Source organism: Homo sapiens, chromosome 1 (genome assembly GCF_000001405.40).
Source record: "Homo sapiens chromosome 1, GRCh38.p14 Primary Assembly".
Taxonomy (NCBI): domain Eukaryota; kingdom Metazoa; phylum Chordata; class Mammalia; order Primates; family Hominidae; genus Homo; species Homo sapiens.
The window spans coordinates 147993694-148015882 of record NC_000001.11 but is presented as its reverse complement, the minus strand read 5'-3'; the positions used below and the strand labels follow the sequence as shown (position 1 = coordinate 148015882).

Genomic DNA, 22189 nt, shown 5'->3' with positions numbered 1-22189 from the left:
TAAGCCAACAGAGGAGAGAGAATGGAATGATATAAAAACCGTGTGAACACTATGATGGAGTAATTGCTCTTCCTATAGTAATTGCACCTCTATCCTATAGAAATACACCAGTGGCTGAAAACGCCGAAAATGCCCGTACAAGAATGACTAGAACATTATATGTAATCATAAAATCACAGAACCAATTTAACTTCAAAAGCGTATGGAAAGGGCTAAATGAATGACAGTAAACAAACAAACAAACAAACAAACAAACAAAATAGAGAGAAGGCCGGGCGCGGTGGCTCAAGCCTGTAATCCCAACACTTTAGGAGGCAAAGGCGGGTGCATCACGAGGTCAGGAGATTGATACCATCCTGGCCAACATGATGAAACCCCCGTCTCTACTATAAATACAAAAATTAGCTGGGCGTGGTGGCGCGTGCCTATAATCCCAGCTACTCGGGAGGCTGAGGCAGGAGAATCGCTTGAACCAGGGAGTCGGAGGTTGCAATGAGCCGAGATGGCGCCACTGCACTCCAGCCTGGTGACAGAGAGAGACTCCGTCGAGAGAGAGAGAGAGAGAGAGAGAGAGAGAGAGAGAGAGAGATCCTAGAATCCTAGCGGACCTTGATTTACGTCCTCATGTCGTATGGGAGACACGGAGGAGAGGCGGGTAAAGTTGGTCTTGCTCTGCCATTCCATGAGAGAATGTGCTGGGTAGAAGAAAGTTGCCAGCGGTTTAAGCATTTTTAAAATGCAAGAAACGCTCAGTAGAACGAGCTTGAACCAGCCAACTCCAGACTTGGAAGCAAGCACACCACCCGACTGCGACATACGGACAGTCGACCCTCGCTCCGGCATCACCATGCAGAGCAAGCGCCCATCCAATGCTAGGCGGAGCCACCGTCTTTTGCAGAACAATTGTGCAGGTTCCAAAGCCTCGGAAAACCGGAGAGGCGCATCTTGCCGGCTACGGTTGAAACCCGTTCACTGGGTGATTCTGAAGCTAGAAGGGCAGCCGAATGGCCTTCCCCCCGTCCTGCCCCTCGTCCACTGTAAGCTCAGGGGGGAGCGGGACCCAGGGAGGTGAAGTGCACAGACTCGGCAGAGGCGGCGGGCAGAACCGCGGGGGTGAGAGGGCGCGGTGGCTGTGGGGCGGGAGCCGCTGCTGAAAGGAGGCCTGGGTTGTTGGGAGGGTGACTGTCCGTGGAATCTTTGGCGGAGGGTGGTTTGGAAGAATGGCGAGGGGAGAGCAGAGGAGAAGGTGGTGACCCTGATCGTCGGCCAGGGGAGAGTAGGCTGTGCTGTCCCTCCTCTCCCCTTATGTGGCGGGGGACATACAGTGGTCAGGAAGGGGGTTCTCCCTGGAGGAGGCTAGTCCACCACACTTCGGCTCCGCTGACCCCTGCGATTTCTCCACATGCGGGGCCCTCGTCCGCGGTGGTGTTTGCGCTATCCGGCGGCTGGGTTCGCGCACTCACTCTCCTGACATGCCTTGGCTCACCGCCGATGTGGATATCGCCGCCAGGGACCCTTCCCGCCCTCCTACGAATCTTGAGTGCGCTTCCTTGGTGTTCTCACCGAAGCTTACGAACAGACAGATGTGAGCTCTCTGTCTTTTACACGCTGAATTTGGCTATAGCAAAAAAGCCTTGACCAAGAGCTTGGGTCTCCTTCGGACCTGCACACGACTCCCCAACTCCCGCCTGCAACGGCGGCTCTTGGATCCCGGGCAGGCAGCGTCCACCCAGCGTGGAACCGTGGCAGCCGCAGCCCCCGCAGGTTGGAGGGCAGACACTAGCAGGAGAAAGGCCACAAGGCCTGCGTGGTGGGAAAGCATGGGAGACGTCGCTTTCCTACCGGGCGAGAAGGTCTCCCTACAGTCTTTGGAGACAAGATGGAGGGAGGCACCCCTTCCAGGAACAAGGCGGCTGCTCCTGAGGCCTGGCTCCGCACGGAGGCTCCTGGGTCCCGCGCGCCCTCTCCCTACCCGCTGTAGCCAGAGCTGCTTCACATATCTCAACCGGCCTCCTCCTCCTCCCCAGCCGTCCTTGGGACAGCAAGGCCCCCAGCCCGTGGGAAAGACCTAGCCTCCTCTCCAGCACTTGGAGAGGGAGTTGGATGCACGTCTCTTAACCCCAGGAGGACAGAGACCCTGAGGCAGGAGGGGACCCCTTCCCTTGCTGCTTCTCTTGGCACAGCCGGTCCAGGGGGCTGGCTCAGGGCCCAGGACTCCTCGCTCCTCCTGGAGGGCCTGGGTCGCGTGGCCCAGGAGCTGGCCACATGGGCATCTCCCGCACTGCTCCTCAGGGAACGGGAGGCATTATCCTGCAGGGCCCACTCTTACCCATGAAAGACACTCGGGAAATGCTCCTGCGGAAGCTGGAGCTCTGCGCGTTTGACCACTTAGTCTGTCCGCCCATCCTTCCTTCGGAGGGTCTTGGGGAGAGAAGAAATGCTCCTTCGGAGGGTCTTGGGGAGAGAAGAAATGCTCGAGGACGATGCGCTTTGCAGCGTCTCTACCAACATCAGAAGAAAGCAGGGCGCGTCTTCCTGGAAGAAGGCGGCCGGAGGCCTGCGGTCGCAGGGAGGCTTGCGGGGCAGGAACGCCCTATCTCCGCCGTGCTATCCAGCGGCTTGCAGCATCCCACCTGGCGGACTCCTCTTCCTCTCTCTTCTACTGTGGCTCTTCTATCCTGGTGTCCCTTGAATGCCTATCTTCCTTTTGTGCCTCCAAACCTCTCACGCCCGCCCCAAGTTACTCATTTCCTTAGTTGTTCTGAACTTTAAATAAGGTAATGCATGTAAGATTGCATAAATGCTCAATAATTGTCATCTGTTATTATTTTCATCAGTAACATCATCTGAATCATCAGTATTGTCTATTTTTAACAGCTGCATTTTTCATTGTCCGAATATAGTCACATACATTTGAACATTTTATAATTATTGAATAATAAATTCGTTCTGCTATTTTACAATAAAAAATAATGCTGCAGAGTGTATTCTTACACATATATCTTGGCAGATGTAGGCCAGAGGCTCTTCTTTGGCCATTCTGTGGCCAACCTATCAATGTATACACTTTTAATGAGATTTTGCCAGCAATCAAAGCCTTCAGTGAAAATGTCCCTAGCTCTTTACTACATCGGATCAAGGACTCTGGACAGTAGGCACAACATCCTGGAATATTGTGGAATATCTCCTGAAACGGAGATATTATTCTTTCCTCTCCTCTTTTGTCTTTGTCTTTTCACAACATCTTAATGACAGTGCTGGCGACAAGAGTGTAACTATATGTCAGTGTTCTGCTGTCCTTGCCTGTGTGGGTCTTCTCCCAAACCCGACTTTCCTCCAGCAGCTTCACTGAAAAAGAGGAGGGGGCTGCGGGGGTGGGGGAGTGGGGCGGGGAGGGGAGGAGGAAATAAACTGAATAGGGAGGAAGCAGCTCACAGGCCAGGAGAGGGTAAGGAAGGGAGTCAAAGACAGAATTTTCTTCAGCAAACAGTAAAAGGGGAAATCCGGGGACGCTAAGAGTTTTTAAACCTTTGCTCCATCACATAAGTAATCCATGATTTTCCGTTACACAAATCAGCACTCCTACTCCTCCCTCCCTCCCCACCCCCAATCCTGATTCCTGTTTACAAAGAATGCTCAAAAACAAGGAATTATGTATAACAGTTCCCAGTTTACTCAGGAAATTCTCAGATTACAAAGAGACTTTACGAATAACAAGTGAAGAGAAGAACCTTAGTGGTTCCAACATAGTATGGCCATCGTTTTATACTCAAAATATAGAAAGACAACCTCAGAATAGAATTGAATAAATCAAGTTTATCATTAAAACGCAAAGAAAAAAAAACTCTCCAAACGTTGCTGATCTTCTGTTTTAAACTACTGTTAGACTGGTGAGCTGGAGAGCCGGGGGAATCCACCAAAGATTTTTGGATGAAAATTAATCATCCCTTGTCCACCGTAGTCGCACCCCAATGCCCCTCAGATCCAGTCCTTCGAAGGAGTGTCCAAGAGGTATAAAGCAAAACCGGAAAAACAGTTCCCAAATTCTGGAGTTTGTTTTCTCTCATTAAAAATATAAATATCAGGCTAACACCTATTGACACACAATAACAGGGACACAGAATCCCTCCCGGAAGACCCATGGGCCCACGGACCCCGCGGATGCCACAGTGGTTGACGAGGTTAAGTAACTGGGTTCAGGGTGTCTGGGCATACCTGTGCGTGAGACTCTGTCTCCGCTGCTCCCCTCATCTCCACTGCTCCCCTCGTCTCCCCACGATCCTCCCTTTTCCTTGGGCCGCTGATGGCTCTCCGACTCACGAAGAGTCTCCCTGGCCCCTGCAGCTCTCTCCTTCCCAGACCTTTACTTCTTGATCCTCACTCCATAGTGAGATGTGGCCTAAGGTAGGGGAAAGTCCAGCACGAGAATCCGTCTGATGGCCTTTGGATTACTCAGGGGTGTGCCCGGAGACTAGATGAAAGTAGCAAAGGCTTTATTTAGTTCCCAGTACTCCAAACTGCAGCAAACCACCGGAAACACCCCCACTTTCAAAGACAGGCTTTGAGCAGAGGAAATGTAATTTCAAGATTAGATCCAGCACAGAGAATATTCCAGAGGTGGCAGGTTTAGCTTCCAGCCACCACGACTCAAGGCCCCTAAATGCTGTACAGCCTGTGTAGTACAATAACTTTGTTGGCTAGAAATGTAATAGCCCTTCAAGCATGAACTTGGAGCATGAAGGGTAAGAAGGCCTGCTTTGGCCGGGAGTTGAACCCAGGTCTCCCGCGTAGGTGGGGAGAATGCCACCGCTGAACTACCAATGCTCCACTGAGTGCGGTTTCACTAGATCTAATTTTGAAGAGTCTCTGGAAGGACTTTGAAGCAGTGTTTCTAAAATAGATTTGTATAGGACTCTTGAGTAGACACACCGAGCAAACAGAAAGGACACCCAGAGCAAAGCCTTGCATAGGAGACGTATGTCAGGCAACATTATCAAGTTATTTATAATGGCATTTAAATCAACATACCAGATTTGAAAGAGCCTAATTGTGAAACAGGCTCTATACAACTAGATAACAGACCTCTATGGAAATACACAGGAAATTCATCCAGGCCTTTGTCTCTGGTCCCAGATCTGGCAAAAACCTCTGGAAATTTCATTTCCTCACTGATGATGTAATCTTTTTGCCAACCCATGCCTTGGTGTTTCCCAAACTCTTTCCTCTCAACCTTGAGACAATCACAAATTCTTTCCCTAAACAGGCTTTCAAAGACCCAGGAGCTGGAGATTTAGGGATGTGTCCAGGTTACCCTGGAAGATCTGTGGGATGATGGAGCTTCTCTTCCTCTACACCTCTTTTGAGTCATGTGAAAAAGCCAAGTATCTTGCTTCTAAATTCATATGTTTTTGAGAAACCTACAAAGGTGAGAGTGAGTGAAAGTTCACTCCAATATTTCTTTTCTTAACTACACTCTCTTTGGCCACTCCAGGAGGCATGTTGAGTGGCACGGTCATTCCAGGGACCCAGAGCTTTTCTCCTCAGATGCGTCTTTTGAGTCTCTAGAAAAGTCAAGGATCAAAATGACTGTCTTCCAAACTTTTGTGTCTTACAGAGATCTGCACAAGAGAGAAAGTGAAAATTTCACTCCAAGATTTCTTCCCTTGGCAAACAACAGAAGGTTTAGGACAAGCCTTTTCTCTAAGTGCCTGTTGCTTTGTTAGCTCTGTTTTCCAAAGACATCTGTGTAAGCCTATTATAGAACATTCCCACCCCCATCCCCCCTGCCCCTTCATGCCTGCTTATAACACTAGAGTTTTTTTTTTTTTTTTAAACCCATGAGAGGTTATACTACATGGAACACTGATGGTTCAGTAATGGAATTGTCAACTCCCATGCTGGAGACTGGGGTTTAACTCATAGGGTGAATGCATCTCATGTCCGAATCTCCTCTAGCCCCCTTCCCCTTTCTTTCCTCCCTCCCGAGCTTACATACCTTTCTTAGCGGCCTGTGTTCTTATCCTCTCTAGAAAGGACCAGTCTTGTAAGAACCCTCTGGGCTGGGGTTGAACCACACTCTATATTCCAGCAGTGCCAGAAGCTCAGCTAATCTGCACCTGGATCTTGGGAGGGCAGGGATGGAGGTGGCTGAGGAACTACCTGCTTCTACTTGGGTGTCAAGGGTCAACTAGCAGCATCTCCAGGGCCAGATATTGAGCCAGATGGTCAGCATTTCCCTCTGGCAGTTGGCAGAGGGTTATTAAAGTTACCTTTTTCTTCTTCCCTCCTAGGTTGTGGATCTGGTCAGAAAGAGTGGGAATTCAGTGACTTTACTAGTTCTGGATGGGGATTCCTATGAGAAAGCAGTGAAAACACGGGTGGACTTGAAAGAGTTGGGTCAAAGTCAGAAGGAGCAAGGTTTGAGTGATAATATACTTTCCCCTGTGATGAATGGAGGTGTGCAAACTTGGACCCAGCCCCGGCTCTGCTATCTCGTGAAGGAGGGAGGCAGCCATGGCTTCTCTCTGAAAACTGTCCAAGGTGAGAATTTTTTGGGGAGCAGGGGGAGGCAGGGGCAGGGCACAGACAACAGGCTTCCAGAACAAAGATGCTACTGGTTAATGACTTTTCTTCGACTGACTTTTCAGTTGCTATAGATAGCTTGCAACAGCTTGCCTCCCTCCGTCTCTCACTCCCTCCCTGCCCTTTCCCTTGCCTTGCACAGTTGTGCAATGGGGGAGGGACACTGGACAGCAGTGGGGGTGGGGGGCACTGGGTACTCCTGTCCCTGAGTGTTTGTCAGGCTGACACTTGAGGACTCTTTGAGGTCAGGGGGCCAGAGGGTTGATGCTTCTAGCCCTCTTAGGGTGAAAATGAAGGGCAGAATAAGGAATAAAAGGCAAGAAAAATGAGATTCTTCATAATAGCTATTTTTGAGTAAGATTGGTATCTTTTTTTTTTATCTGAGTGCCCAGATAGTCATTCACTTATTCAACAAATTCTTGAGCACCTGCTGATGTGCCAGGCACTGTTACCTTTGCTGAGAATACCGCAAAAATTTCCACCCTCCTGTAACATTTTGATAGTATCCTCAGCTGCAGCTCAGCCCCACCTGTTCTGAGGTGCATCTTTGAGCTCTGGCTAAGAGGTACATAGTGATTTGAGAAACCCTGACCATCAGGAAGTACCAGAAGTTCTATTTCTAGAATTTCAGAGGTGCAGACTAACCTGTGTTCAGTTGACCGTGGCTCTGGGGTATTGGTTGGAACCAGAGGAGCTGTGTTAGCTGGTCGATTCCTTCTTGAACACTGCCTCTGCCTATGTTCTTTCTGGGGCTGGAGAAGCACTGGTGGTAGGTCATGATTTGGCAAGTGATACAGCAGCAGACCAGTGGTAAATTTAAAATAGTTTCTAAGGCTTATTTAACCTGTACCAAGAGATGTAAACTCACGATAAGGGGTATTTCTCAGGTCTGTCAGTTATTAAACACAGTGGTGTGTATAGTCAAAGGAAGCTTGGCACGTCTTAGAAGCCTATTATCAGTAAAGTGGTAAAAAAAAGAAAATCATAATTCAGATTCTACTCATCTGGCTCGTGTGCTAATGCACATGGTGAATGGTTTAGGTTAGCTTTATGAGGAAAATGGTCTCTTCATGACAAATATATAACAAGGTAGCAGGAGAAATGCTGAGTGTTTAAGGAAGCAGAGTTTAAGTTACTGTCATTCCTTACAAGTGATTTATGTAGTCATTAGCAAGCGATCCCTTGCCTAGGTTGACATACAAGAGTCCCCCCTTATCCTGTTTGGCTTTCCATAGTTTCAGTTACCTTACCTGCAGGCAACTGTGGTCTGAAAATATTAAATGGAAAATTCCATACATAATTTTTGCATTGTGAACCATTATGAGTAGTGTAATGAAATCTTGTGCTGTCCTGCCCCGTCTTGGACGTGAATCCTCTGTTTGTCTAGCATCTCCACGTGGCATGTGCTTACCTGCCTGTTAGTCTTACTACTTACTACTCAGTTACCAGGTCAACTGTCACGGTATTAAAGTACTGTGTTCAAATAATCCTTATTTTGCTTAATAATGGCCCAGCACAGAAAGAAAAATATCACATATTCTCATATGTGGGAGCTAAAAAAGGTGAATCTCATGGAGGTAGAGAGTAGAATGAGAGATACCAGCAGCTGGGAAGGGTATGTGTGTGGGGTAGGGTGGGGATGAAGAGAGCTAGGTTAATGGGTACAAACCCACAGAGAGAAGGAATAAGTTCTAATGTTTGATAGCACAGTGGGGTGACTGTAGTTAACAACAATGTATTGTACATTTCAAAATAGCTGTAAGAAGATTTGAAATATTCTCAACACAAAGAAATGATAAATGTTCAAGGATGGATGTCCTAAATATTACACCCTGATTTGTTCATCATATGCTCTTGGTATCAAAATATGACACACACCCTATAAATATGTACAAATGTTATGTATCAATAAAAAATAATAGCTCAGGCCGGGCGCAGTGGCTCACGCCTGTAATCCCAGCACTTTGGGAGGCCGAGGCAGGCGGATCTTAAGGTCAGGAGATCGAGACCATCCTGGCTAACACGGTGAAACCCTGTCTCTACTAAAAATACAAAAAATTAGCCGGGTGTGGTGGTGGGCGCCTGTAGTTCCAGCTACTCAGGAGGCTGAGGCAGGAGAATGGTGTGAACCCGGGAGGCGGAGGTTGCAGTGAGCTCAGATTGCGCCACTGCACTCCAGGCTGGGCGATAAAGCAAGACTCCGTCTCAAAAAAAAAAAAAAAAGCCAAAAATGCAACGATAGTGATGCTGGCAGTTCAGATATGACAAAGAGAAGCTGTAAAGTGGCTGGGCACAGTGGCTCATATCTGTAATCCTAGCGCTTTGAGAGTGCGAGGCGAGTGGATTACCTGAGGTCAGGAGTTCGAGACAAGCCTGGCCAACATGGCGAAACCCCATCTCTACTAAAAATACAAAAATTAGCCAGGCGCGGTGGCAGGCGCCTGTAGTCCCAGCTACTCGAGAGGCTGAGGCAGAAGAATCGCTTGAACCGGGGAGGCAGAGGTTGCTGTGAGCCAAGATTGCGGCCCTGCGTTCCAGCCTAGGTGACAGAGCAAGACTCCATCTGTTAAAAAAAAAAAAAAGGCTGTAAAGTGCTTCTATTAAGTGAAAAGTTCTCGATTTAATAAGGAAAGAAAAAATACTGTATGCTGAGGTTGCTAAGATTAGCTCAGTTATTGTTAATCTCTTACTGTGCCTAATTTATAAGTTAAACTCTATCGTAGGTATGTAAGCACAGGAAAAAACATATAGGGTTCGGTATACTATCTTAAAGTTTCAGGCCTCCACTGGGGGTCTTGGAATGTATCCCCCATGGTTAAGGGGGAACTGCTCTATTAATATCTTTGAAGAATTGACAGCATTTCTGTAAGTAGCACCTAAATCTCACCACCTAAATGCATTCGGGTTCTTCCCTCCCTCCTGTGCCTGTCCTTGTTAGCCTACATTGGTGAGATGACTCCGCAGCATACGATGGCTAATATAATAGTACAAACTGAAGAGGAGAGAATGGTAAAGATGCTTTCTGATTCTACAAATGCAAAGAAAGGGCGTATGACACAATAATGCAGTGTGGGCATGTTTTAGCGCTTTCTGGTGCAAGGGGCCAAGGCCACCCAAGATTCCATCTTTGCATTTAGCTGACCTCAGAAATTCTATTCAAATCAACAAATACCCACTGAGTAAAGGCTGTGTCAAGTTCAGTGTCAGGAGCTATAACTGTGATTTTAGATCAGAAGCCAAAGGCCGAGTTAGCTCTAAAATCGGAAGTTTGTTTCACATTATTGGGAGAAAAGTCTTTACCATTGGATTTCGAGTTTTTCTTTGCAATGGAGTGTTCTGTGAAAGGGTGGTGTAAGCAAAGCAGTCCCTCAAAGGCCAAAGGAGCTGAGAAACCAAAGGACAAGGCAGGCAAATCCAGTTTGTTGGTACATTGGAATTTATCAGGGGAACTTACGAACAGAAGCATGGTCTTGGACAGCCACAAAACATGTAGATCTCTGTGTTACTCCCCAGACCCAAGGCTGATATACCATAGGGAAAGGGTATATGTGCTCCAGCAAGACAATCGAAGGCAGCCCTCTGCAATAGCCAAGAATGCTATAGTGCATCATAGCCTATAATTTGTGTGATAACATTAAGGTTGACATGTTCTTAGACTAGGGACAGTAAATGAAGTAGGAATCGGGAGGCAATCACAGGACTGGGGCTAATCAGAAGTCAACATCACAGATTACCATCCAAGAGGGAGTCACTTGTGTCTCCACATGGAGTTTACCCCTACTCTCTTCCAGGTAAAAAGGGGGTATACATGACTGATATTACACCTCAAGGTGTGGCTATGAGAGCTGGAGTTCTGGCTGATGATCACTTGATTGAAGTGAATGGAGAGAATGTAGAGGATGCCAGCCATGAGGAAGTGGTTGAAAAGGTATGCCCCAAAGGGTACTTTTCTTACCCTATCTTCCACTCTATTCTCATTGGAGGTGACAGGAAGACAGGGGTGGTAGGGGACAGCATGAGTTTATGATGGAAAAAATATCCAGTTGAGTTGCCCCTTCATATTAAGGGTGAACAGACTCACACTAGTGGTATAAGCAGTGTTAATATAGGGTTTTGGAATAAAGCCTTCCCTAGTTTCACATGAGGTCTACAAAATTATTAACTTTACCTTTTGGATCTTGTTTGTATCTGATTGGGAGCCCCCTCTGAACTGTTTGATTGAGACAGGGTCTCACTCTGTTACCCAGGCTGGAGTGTAGTGGCACAATCTCGGCTCATTGCAGTCTCGGCCTCCTGGGCTCAGATGATTCTTCTACCTCAGCTTCCTGAGTAGCTGGGACTACAGGTGTGCACCACCGCACCTGGCTAATTTTTATGTGTGTGTGTGTGTGTGTGTGTGTGTGTGTGTGTGTGTTTTGTAGAGATAGGGTCTCACTATGTTGGCCAGGCTGGTCTTGAACTCCTGAGCTCAAGTGATCTGCCCGCCTTGGCCTCCCAAAGTGCTGGGATTATGGGCGTGTGCCACTGCGCCCTCTGAATTTACAATAAGTTCACTGTTGAGCCGTTAATACTGAAATGCTTTAATAGGAAGTGGGAGATAACCGAGATTTTCCTTTGAGGTCATATGGAACCTTAAAAATTGACCAACCTTCTCTTTGTAGAATGATTTTTTGACGTGGACCCTTACTTTCTTTTCTTTTCCAAACTCCCTTTCTAGCTTTTATCTAGGTACCTTTATGGGTTTTCTGAATTCCAGCTCCTACTTGGGCTCAGTTAGCACCTATGTGGGTAGGTCATACTTAAATAAGGGAAAACAACTATAGAAGTGGAGATAGGGGCCGGGCGCGGTGGCTCACGCCTGTAATCCCAGCACTTTGGGAGGCCGAGGCGGGTGGATCACGAGGTCAGGAGATCGAGACCATCCTGGCTAACACGGTGAAACACCGTCTCTACTAAAAATACAAAAAAAAAAAAAAATTAGCCAGGTGCGGTGGCGGGCGCCTGTAGTCCCAGGTACTCGGGAGGCTGAGGCAGGAGAATGGCGTGAACCCGGGAGGCAGAGCTTGCAGTGAGCTGAGATAGTGCCACTGCACTCCAGCCTGGGCGAAAGAGTGACACTCCATCTCAAAAAAAAAAAAAAGGCGATAAATACATATCAGTTAGCTGGTAGGGCATAGTGTAACAGCTTAAACTCAGGCCTTTCATCCCCTATCTTTTGTTGAACCTAGAGACTGTGTGCCTTTATACAGAAACTTTCTTATTCCCCAGCATTGTTCTTGGGGGTTGATGTCATTCCTCATCTGTGTGTGTTGTTACAGGTGAAGAAGTCAGGAAGCCGTGTCATGTTCCTGCTGGTGGACAAAGAAACTGACAAGCGTCATGTTGAGCAGAAGATACAATTCAAAAGAGAAACAGCCAGTTTGAAACTGTTACCCCACCAGCCCCGAATTGTGGAGATGAAGAAAGGAAGCAATGGCTATGGTTTCTATCTGAGGGCAGGCTCAGAACAGAAAGGTAAGGTACAAGAGCAGGAAACTTGGCAGTAACCAGCAAATTCCTCATCCCATTCTGACTCCAGAGTTCCATTAGGTTCCCAACTCCCAGCCAGATGCATGAGCGGCATAGCATAGAAGGCACAGCTGGGTCAGCGTCTATGTCACATGAGGGTCTGATGTTGGGCATCAAAAGTTTCCACAGCATTATGATAAGGCAGAATTTGGGATCTGGGCAACGGTATCCTGGTAAGTTAGCTCTCTGGGGCGGGGGTAGGGGGAAATCCAAATTGGTAGCGTTTGTTTTTGGTACCAAATTGGTAGTATTTTGTGATGTAAATACTCCTCCCATGTCCAATTTCAACTTACTAACACGATGTCACTGAACACAATGAAGTGTTGCACAGAATTGGCTTTTGTGAGCCGGTGTGAGCCAGTATAGCACACCGCTGGACCTGAGGCCGAGGTGTGGGTGAGGATTTGGGACTCAGAACCAGGAGTCCTCCTTCCTTGCAACTCAATAGGAAGAACACTAGGTTCTTTCAGGGAAGGTAAATACATAAAAGAACATGAGTTCAGGCCGTATAAACTGCTATTCGCCCATAAGTTGTTATTTTCTTTTCACTCTCTGTTTACATTAATTTATCAAATATTAATTTGGTTTGTGTTTTGTAAAAACATCCTCAGTGCCTTGGAGAAAGAATATCATATGAAGCAGACAGGAATTCTTTAGTCAAGGAGTCTACCATTTAGTAGATAAGAGACATATGTCCATAATGAAGGGAGATAGAGGTTAAGTACCTTCATACAGGGGCAGATCAAGCACTGTGATAATTCAACGTTAGAGTAAGCTTTTCTCACTAAAAAGGTACCAGAAGCCCTCATAGTAGGGGTGGCACTTGAGTTCAGGCTTTGTAACATGAATAGATTTGGGAAAGTAGACAGAGCTGGGATAAGGAAGATCATTCCAGGAAGGTGGGAGTCATGTGAACACAGTCAGGAGACACTGGCACAGTTTAATTGGCACATGATGTGTAGTACAAGAATTCGTTGGAAAGGTAGGTTGGAGAGAAGTGACAAGGGTACTTCTATGCAAGACTGATGAGTTTGAACTTGGCTTATCAGACAATGGGGAGTTGTTTTTTGAGCAGTATAAGGGAGAAGAACAAAAACCAGCCTATAATGTCTTGGGGGCTTTGCACATCTCAATTACTCCTAACAATTACGCAAGAAGAACTGCTGAAATTGAGGGCTTGGAGAAGATACAGTAATTATGTAAGGTCAAATAGTTGTTTAGTTCCAAAGCCCATGCTCATTCTGTTGCACCAGGAAGTGACTTGGTTAGGAATGTGCATCAAGATGGATCTGAAGGCAGATCTGTATCAGACAGAAGGACTGGGGAAGGGAAAGCAGTAGGTAAGGTGCTGTAATAGTTTAGGTAGAATTCTAGGCAGGAACTAATACAAACTGCATTCAGGGTAGAAGAAGTGGGATGTGTAAGGTATTATGGTAGCATCAGAGGACTTAGCAATCGTCTAGATATGGGGACTGGATGCTGGGGAAAAATCAGTTGCCAAGTGTTGGTGACTGGGATGATGTTGCTCCACTAACAGGTAACCAAGAGGAGGGGCTTTGGGATGGAGAATGGGCAGAGCTGATTTTTGGTTTGAATACATTACAGTTGAGAGATCTATGAGATATTTTGTTGGAGATACCCAGCAGCTAGCTGGAAAAGTGAAACAGGAACTTGTTAAAAAAAAAAAAAAAAAAGCAGCATCTGGTGAAGATACCAGAAGGCCAAAGGCACCTGGAGGCATGTATATACAAATATATTCAAAACCGAACACACCCAATTGCTACTAAAATGCCAGCATGGGTTTCTTAAGGTCCAAAGTTTTGGGTTTTGTTCTTTATTCTTCCCCATCTTTTATGACAGCTTTTACATAAGACGCGTGGCTACAAGTATGCCCACTGACTTTCTGGGAACTTGCAGCCTTTTAATATGCTATTTTGCCAAAATCAAATGTCAGATGCTTTTAGTAACAGGATTATTTTCGTTAAGACCCCTTCATTGTTAATTGCTGGGTTAGTTTCTGGGGTGAGTTCTGAGCAGGAAACGAGCCTAGATAGTGTGCTTATAAGCTTCCTGGGATGCTGGTGGAAGGGGTGGTAGTTGTACTCAGCATGCCTTTTTTATCTATTTCATCAGGGCTTTGGGCTCCAGCAGAAAATCTGTTTTATTTTTTTAGGGGACTTACTGATAATTTTATTTTTTGGGGTTGGGGGAGGGTAGGTCAAATCATCAAGGACATAGATTCTGGAAGTCCAGCAGAGGAGGCTGGCTTGAAGAACAATGATCTGGTAGTTGCTGTCAACGGCGAGTCTGTGGAAACCCTGGATCATGACAGTGTGGTAGAAATGATTAGAAAGGGTGGAGATCAGACTTCACTGTTGGTGGTAGACAAAGAGACGGACAACATGTACAGACTGGTAAGTAATACAAGGCCATATATTCATGCATTAAGGCTGGGCCCATTCACTCATGACCTCAACTTTTGCACTGAGTTAGGACTTTGTTCCTCAAACTGGAAGAGGCATAACAATCATCATTAAGGCTAAACTGAAGCTCAACTCAAATTGGTAGTGATAAGAGAATGCCAAATGATTGATAAATGAGTTTTAAGTCCTTGGTCTTAAGATTTTGAAAGAATTTGTGAATATAACTGCAGGCTTACTCTTGGTGATCTGAGAAAATCTATGGAGAATATAAGCCTGGAAATAAAATTGTTCCCAAAATAGGAAACAATTAGATTTTAAGCTTTAGGTCAGTTAAGTGCTATCAACTGCACATAAAAGCCTAGAAAGGATTATTAAACAACTTGTAAGCCCTTAGCAAATAAAAAAGAAACACAGATAGACCAAGACCAACCTGAATCAAACTAACTTTATTTTCTCTTAACAGCTCTTTATCATAACACCCACTACTGCATGTTTTAAGGTTTTTTTGTTGTTGTTTTTTTTTTTTTTTTTTTTACTTTTAACACAAGAACTGAGGTTGTCTAGTTTAACAGATACCTGGGGGGCCTTCTAAGTACCATCTGTCTTGCTAAGTGTTGATTGTAAAGATGAACAAGATAAATGTCCTCTGTGATATACAATGATAGTAGAATCTAAAATAAGCGGTACAGAGGGGGGAATATGATGGGTGGTGATATCTTAGGCCCTCCTCATAGATTAGGAAACCGAAGCTTAGAGAGACTAAGCACTTTGCTAAAGTCACGCAGCTTAGTAAAGACTGAAGGTGGTATCTGAACCCAAATTCTTGGACCTGTAATTCATTATACCATACTCCCCAGCACATTTTTTCAAGATAATCTTGTAAGCAGGATTAAACAATTAATTAGATTAATGGCTTTTTTTTTAGCTACTTGAACAATCATACCTAGAAAATACTTGATATCAACCTGAATATCAACTTGAATAGAAGTCTCTAATGGCATGCTACTTGTTCCTAACCGTTTATGTGCTTAAAGTTGAAAGGAGATATGGAAAATATATTAACATACTTAAAGTGGCACTAGATAATTCATTTGCTGGATGGTGTAATTAATACTCAAAATATTTAGTTAGGATAGAAAGAATGAAAACTAAAGAAATAAGAATAAATTTCAGATGTACTATACTAACCTAAAAGTAAATTGTATGAATACCACATGGTGAGACCTGATTTGAGGACTACAGAAAAAGACCAGAAACTTGATAGTCCAAGTGGTTGTCCCATCCAAATATGGTAATTTAAAAATTAACTGACACTTGGCTTCTAGAGATGACCATCTTACTGTACTTACTTGGTCAGACCATACTTGGAATTCCTGGTAATATAGTTACCACCTCTCTCTGTGCTTCAGTTTCCTTAGTTGTAAGAGAGGGGTAGTAGCTACAGTGAAGGGTGGCTATGAGGGTTGAATTGGAATATTCAGAGCATGTAGAATAATGCCTCACACATCTAAATGTTCTATTTGTTCAATCAATATTGTGTCCGGTTTCAAGAACTTCACTTTAAGAAGGCAATGACAAGGGTAACCAGGGAAGAGGTTTTGGAAGCCACCATGTGAGTATTTAGCTTGAGTAAGGCTTTGGAGAAGAGGGCATCTTCAAGAATTTGAAAGGCTATTACATGTAAGAAGGAGCACACTTTTTTTTTTTTTTTTGAGACGTTGTCTTGCTCTGTCACCAGGCTGGAGTGCAGTGGTGCCATCTCAGCTCACTGCAATCTCCACCTCCCGGGTTCAAGCGATTCCCCTGCCTCAGCCTCCTGAGTAGCTGGAATTACAGGTGCGCACCACCATGCCCAGCTAATTTTTTGTATTTTAGTAGTTTTACCATGTTGGCCAGGATGGTCTCGATCTCCTGACCTTGTGATCCGCCCGCCTCGGCCTCCCAAAGTGCTGGGATTACAGGTATAAGCCAACACGCCCGGGCCACACATTTTTTTTTAAGGTGTCCTATGGGGCACAACAGGACCAGAGAAGCCATAGGGAGATAGCTTTTGGCTTAAGAACCAACTGAAGCTGCCAGAAATGATGAGTCATTTTGCAGTTGGTGGAAAGTCAAGCAGAAATCAGAGGCGGCTGCTGCAGCTGTTTGTTGTAAAGGGGATTCTGACCCCTCCTGATCTTATCATAGAATGATTTAATTGTAATTTTTCTGTTTTGGTTAATAGAGAACTTTGATCGAAAAAGAAGCCTGCCCTCATCACCTCCTTCCCCGCTCTCCAAAGTAAGACCTGTAGGTTGGGGTGGAGGGTAGATCTTTGAGATACATCAGTGAGTAAAACACAACCCTCTAGCAGTCCCTGGCACATACTAGACACCCAATTATCTGAATGAAGCATGAATAAAATCTCATTTTTTTTTTTTTTTTTTTTTGAGACAGAGTCTCCCGCTGTTGTCCAAGCTGGAGTGCAATGGTATGTTCTCAGCTCACTGGAACCTCTGCCTCCCAGGTTCAAGTGAGTCTCCTGCCTCAGTCTCTCGAGTAGCTGGGACTACAGGTGTGTGCTACCACACCTGGCTAATTTTTATATTTTTAGTAGAGAATGAGGTTTCACCATTTTGGCCAGGCTGGTCTCGAACTCCTGACCTCAAGTGATCCGCCCACCTTGTACTCCCAAAGTGCTGGGATTTCAGGCATGAGCCACCAAGCCCGGCCAAAATCTCAAGTGTTTTAAATGTTATTGCACTTTGCCTCGAGATGAGCTGCGACTGTCAGATACAGTTGGTTTGCTTGTTTGGGTAGTGTTATCAGACGTATTTTTGCATGTAATGAGTCACCTGATAATTTTCCATATTTTAAAGAGAAAGGCTCCATTGTGGAACTGTTGCAAGTATATGACTGAAAGGTCTGAAGTTAGTTGAACTGGGTAACTAGGAGGTTCTGTGCTGGTGGTATTCTCACTTAGAAAGGAAGGAGATGTGGTCTTGTGGTTAGTAAGACACATGATAACCAGAGGACTAAAAATCTAATTTTAGTCAGGCTGCTAAACAGTGCGATTTGAAGTAGAGCCCACACTGTGCTCACCTTCCATTGCTTGATTTCCTACTCATCACCTAACAAATGTTCCGGACACGTGTGGGCAGCCATTTAGCTGCTGATCCAGGATCACACCATACCCAGGTCCACCCTTCTAATTGTCTCAACTAAAACAGCCAGTTAGGCTTGTAATTCTATTACAAAAAAATCAATCCTGTTTCCTGTTCTATGCCTCTTCGGTATTCAAGATCATCATTTCTTCACATGGATGGGCTGGGAGTTGATATGAATTAGGAGTATTTAAAGATGTTGGAGAGTTTGGCATAATAGAAGTGACAGCTAATGCTTACAACAATACATAGCAAAATAAATAAGCGCAGATCCCAGGTCTGGAAGGGGAGGGTATTGGCAAGCAGCAAAGGGTTGGAATTAACTTTTGTTACAATATGTGACCATATAACAGCTGTCACCCTCTCACCAATTATTACTGTGTATATGGGTTGGTCTCTTCTAGTAGCTTTGAATCTTTGGATAGTGATAAAAATAGTGTTATATTAACATTCTCCAGAGAGACAGATCTAGTAGGATATAGATACAGGTATGAGAGGAGATTAATTAGGGGAATTGGCTTGTGTGATTATGGAGGCTGAGAAGCCCCACGACAGGCTGTCTTCAAGCTTGAGACCCTGGGATGCCAGTAGTGTGGCTCCGTCCAAATCTGACTGAGCCACATTACTGGCATCACCCCTGATTGGCAGTCCTACTTGTTTGCTTCTGTGCATTTGGCCTGAGAATCTGGGGGGCTGCGGCTGTAGATCTTAGAGTCCAAAGGCCGGAGAACCAGGAATTCTGATGTCCAAGCACAGGAGAGGAAGAGTGTATCCCAGCTCTAGCAGACAGACTGACACCTTTGCCTTTTCTGTAGTTCACTCAGACTCGCATGCTAATCCCCTCTGGAACCACCTTCACAGACACACACCAAAATAATGCTTTACCGGGCTTCTAGGTATTCCTTAATCCAGTCAAGTTGGCATCTAAAATTAACTATCACAAGTGTCTTGTGTTTTACTTTTTCTAATGTGTTTAAGGAGCTCTGAAGACCATCTTACCGAAAGGAAAAGCCAGAAGAATGTACTCTGCATGAGGTACCGGCTAGTCAGTCAGATATGTCATTTCCCAACAGGGAGATTATGTATAGCTTGTTCAGTGACTTGCTCACTATCATGAACTCAAAAGAAACTAGCAATTTTTTAGACTTCTTTTGGGATCCTTGTACCGCATCCTATACTGCTTTTATGTTCATGTGTGCATTTGTGTACATGTATACACATATTACTCCATAACGAAGCACAGTCTTCTTTTATACCTTTCCTGGTTGGGGTAGTAGAGGAATTTTACAGCCTACAATCAGACACATCCAGAAGAAGAGTGGAATATGTATGATACCTTAAAAATCAGCACATTTAACAAAGTATAACTTACTCATGGTTACAACTAAGTTAATGTTTTTTCCCTTTATTTTTCAAAAGGCTCATTTTTCTCCATTTCTCTACTATCAAAGTCAAGAACTGCCCAATGGCTCTGTCAAGGAGGCTCCAGCTCCTACTCCCACTTCTCTGGAAGTCTCAAGTCCACCAGATACTACAGAGGAAGAAGATCATAAGCCTAAACTCTGCAGGCTGGCTAAAGGTGAAAATGGCTATGGCTTTCACTTAAATGCGATTCGGGGTCTGCCAGGCTCATTCATCAAAGAGGTATGGTAATCTGGTTCCAGCAGCCCAACAAACACAGCCACAATTAGGATAGTCTCAGCTTTTCCCACCCATTGATGGCTTAGTAGAGAGGTTCCATTGAAGGCACACACTGAGGGGTCTCACTTGGGTTCAGATAAATGTTGTCATGGTCCCACACCCTTTAGGTTAGCTACCAGTACATCATAAGCTCACGTTTGTTTGTTTCCCAAACATCTGTTCCAAACAGTGTGAGTTGACTGAACTCTAGTTGACAGTCACTATCAACCCTGATTGGCAGTCATATTTGTTTGCTTCTGTGCATTTGGCATAATGCCCCTTACCCTGTAGGGACTGATAAGAATCCCTATAGCTTTCAAGTTGGGAGTGAAGAAGGGGGACCTATTTATCCCCCTTCATCCCAGAAGACATATGACGCTGAACCACTATTTATAATACCACTAATCATGTGAATATGGAAGTTATAGCCTTCATAAATATAAAAGCATTAGAACACCTTTCTCAACTTCTATACCTCAAGGAGAAATAATAACATGATTAAAAATAAATTCTTGAGCTCCTCATCTATCCTCTTAAGGAGAGCTAGTCTGATGTCCCCTTCTCTGTTTGAAATTGATAACTCAGAACTTCTGTTCACAGGTACAGAAGGGCGGTCCTGCTGACTTGGCTGGGCTAGAGGATGAGGATGTCATCATTGAAGTGAATGGGGTGAATGTGCTAGATGAACCCTATGAGAAGGTGGTGGATAGAATCCAGAGCAGTGGGAAGAATGTCACACTTCTAGTCTGTGGAAAGAAGGCCTATGATTATTTCCAAGCTAAGAAAATCCCTATTGTTTCCTCCCTGGCTGATCCACTTGACACCCCTCCAGATTCTAAAGAAGGAATAGTGGTGGAGTCAAAGCATGACTCGCACATGGCAAAAGAACGGGTGAGTGGGGGCCTATTTCTTTTCATGATCTAATTTACTAGAGTATGGGTACAGTCCCTATGAGTATATTTAATGTCTATGTTTGCCACAGATTTTTTTTAAAACTAGAAAATGACAATGTAAAGATAACTAACAAATCAAGTTATTGTAGAGGACAGGAGGCAGTATAAGAACAACAAATTTCTTACTTTCATAGCATGCAGCTGACAGCAACTGTCTAGAGCTAATAAATCAAGAAGTAAAAAGTTTATCAGTATTGTAATGGGAACCCCCAAAAGAGCCTGAATCGGATGATCTAGATATGAATTCTGGTTCTGTCATTTGTCAGCTGTGGGGAAATGGATTTATTTGTTCTGTTCCTCAGTTTTCCCACCCATAAAACAGGAATAATTTGTAGGATTGTTATCAGGATCATGTTAACTAAGATTAACTATATTAAAGTGCTTTGAATAGTGGCTGGCTCATAGTGAGCATGTAAGTGGTGACGGTTAAAGACAATATTGTTTAAAACAATTGACAGGTATTCCAGTTTTATTACTAGGAAAGATTAAGCATTCTCTATATTATTCTCTATATATTTGGATTAAATTTCTTGGTAAGTCTCAGTTTTATATTTTTGCCCAATTTTTCCTGGATGAACTTGAGGTCCAAAAGTAAACTGACTTATCCAAGTTCATAAAGGAAATTTATAGCAAAGCCGAGACTCTAAAAAAGTTTAATTCAATGTTGTTCTTCTTTCCATTATATTAATTCTGCTAATGGGTGGAATATTCATTTTAATAAACTCAGTTTAATGAACACACACAATGCCCACTGATTTGTATTCAGGAATGCTTAATAAATACTATTAGTTGTATTAGTTGTCATTTAAAAATTCTGTAATTTCTCTTTAGGAAGTCAATATCCTAGTCTTATACAAAAGAAATATACACAGACATTAAGGAATTTGTTAATGTGTCAAACAGCAAGTTGAAAACAATCAAGTGTAGAATTCAGGTCACCTGACTTCTAGTCATACCTAGATCATCTGATTCAGGCTCTTCTGGGGGTTCCCATTACAATACTGATAAACTTTTTACTTGATTTATCAGCTCTACACAATTGCTGTCAACTGCATGCTGTGAAAGAAAGAAATTCTAGTGAGTGACTCTACTCCCCGACTTAAGTCATGCAACTCTAGAATAGATCATCCCTCTTTCATTACTCTACCATTTGTAAATTCTTTGTTTTCTTATACACAGGCCCACAGTACAGCCTCACATTCTTCTTCCAATTCTGAAGATACAGAGATGTGATGAAAACAAGTAATAGCTTTGGCTGTTTATTTGATAGCTGTTTCTGGGTATTTAATAGGAATCCTTTCTCAAAGAATGAGTTGCGACCTGTTTACTGTCTCTTTAGAAGAAAAACTCCACTGGAAACCATTCACCATGTGTGATTGTCTTCTGTTATCATTTGTCTTACAGGCGGCTATTGCAGACGGCTAATTTATGCTTAACTTAGGAAGAGATAAGGCAAGAGCTAGATTTTTTTCATGTGATCTTTTCCAAGCTTCAACTTAACTACATTTCTCTGTATGATGATGTCTCTTACTTCTACAGGTTCCTTGAGCACCAAAGATGATTCATAACTCTGTATAGGTGACAGCTGCTTATAAAAGCATCTTAGCAGATAAGCCTATTAAAATTGTGCTTTTGTAACAATGTTGTGGTTGCTAGAATAAATACCATTAACAAATGCCTTTTGAGTATGCTTGATAGTGCTTTTGTTTTGGATTCACTTTTTATGCTTTAACCTTCATTTGCCTCTAGAAACCCAAAACACAATAAAGTACAGAATAAGACCTTAGTAATAAAATTCAGAATTTTCTTAAATTGCATGTCTGAGTGTTCTAAAAATTTT

The 22189-nt window shown here is 44.2% G+C and overlaps 1 protein-coding gene and 3 pseudogenes across 6 annotated transcripts in view, besides 2 other annotated features; 2 read left to right on the top strand and 2 right to left on the bottom strand.

The window, feature by feature from the left end:
* The window catches only part of GPR89B (G protein-coupled receptor 89B), a 97515-nt gene that overhangs the window by 10052 nt on the left and 65274 nt on the right, over positions 1 to 22189 (bottom strand). The window contains exons 16-18 of one of the 5 annotated variants that reach the window (NR_183758.1): positions 7228 to 7426; positions 6270 to 6352; positions 4216 to 4471 (exon numbers count right to left, since the gene is read on the bottom strand). The exons of the other annotated variants lie outside the window; for them this stretch is intronic. The gene's annotated coding sequence lies outside the window, so the exon portion shown is untranslated. The remainder of the gene's footprint in view (positions 1 to 4215; positions 4472 to 6269; positions 6353 to 7227; positions 7427 to 22189) is intronic. 5 annotated transcript variants of the gene reach the window in all.
* Positions 927 to 22021, top strand: PDZK1P1 (PDZ domain containing 1 pseudogene 1; annotated as a pseudogene). Its single transcript, NR_111936.1, has 10 exons — positions 927 to 1037; positions 5264 to 5425; positions 5615 to 5746; positions 6291 to 6540; positions 10374 to 10510; positions 11901 to 12096; positions 14368 to 14564; positions 19136 to 19295; positions 19997 to 20287; positions 21529 to 22021. The product of NR_111936.1 is annotated as a PDZ domain containing 1 pseudogene 1 (transcript).
* On the top strand, positions 1300 to 1466 carry RNU1-129P (RNA, U1 small nuclear 129, pseudogene; annotated as a pseudogene).
* Positions 1306 to 2017: an enhancer, noted in NCBI's record as "H3K4me1 hESC enhancer chr1:145944387-145945098 (GRCh37/hg19 assembly coordinates)". NCBI's record gives its function as "activates a minimal SCP1, AML or CMV promoter by ChIP-STARR-seq in primed H9 embryonic stem cells {active_cell/tissue: H9 hESC(primed)}" and the evidence as "EXISTENCE:reporter gene assay evidence [ECO:0000049][PMID:30033119]".
* Positions 2018 to 2729: an enhancer, noted in NCBI's record as "H3K4me1 hESC enhancer chr1:145943675-145944386 (GRCh37/hg19 assembly coordinates)". NCBI's record gives its function as "activates a minimal SCP1, AML or CMV promoter by ChIP-STARR-seq in naive H9 embryonic stem cells {active_cell/tissue: H9 hESC(naive)}" and the evidence as "EXISTENCE:reporter gene assay evidence [ECO:0000049][PMID:30033119]".
* Positions 4754 to 4824, bottom strand: TRR-CCT6-2 (tRNA-Arg (anticodon CCT) 6-2; annotated as a pseudogene).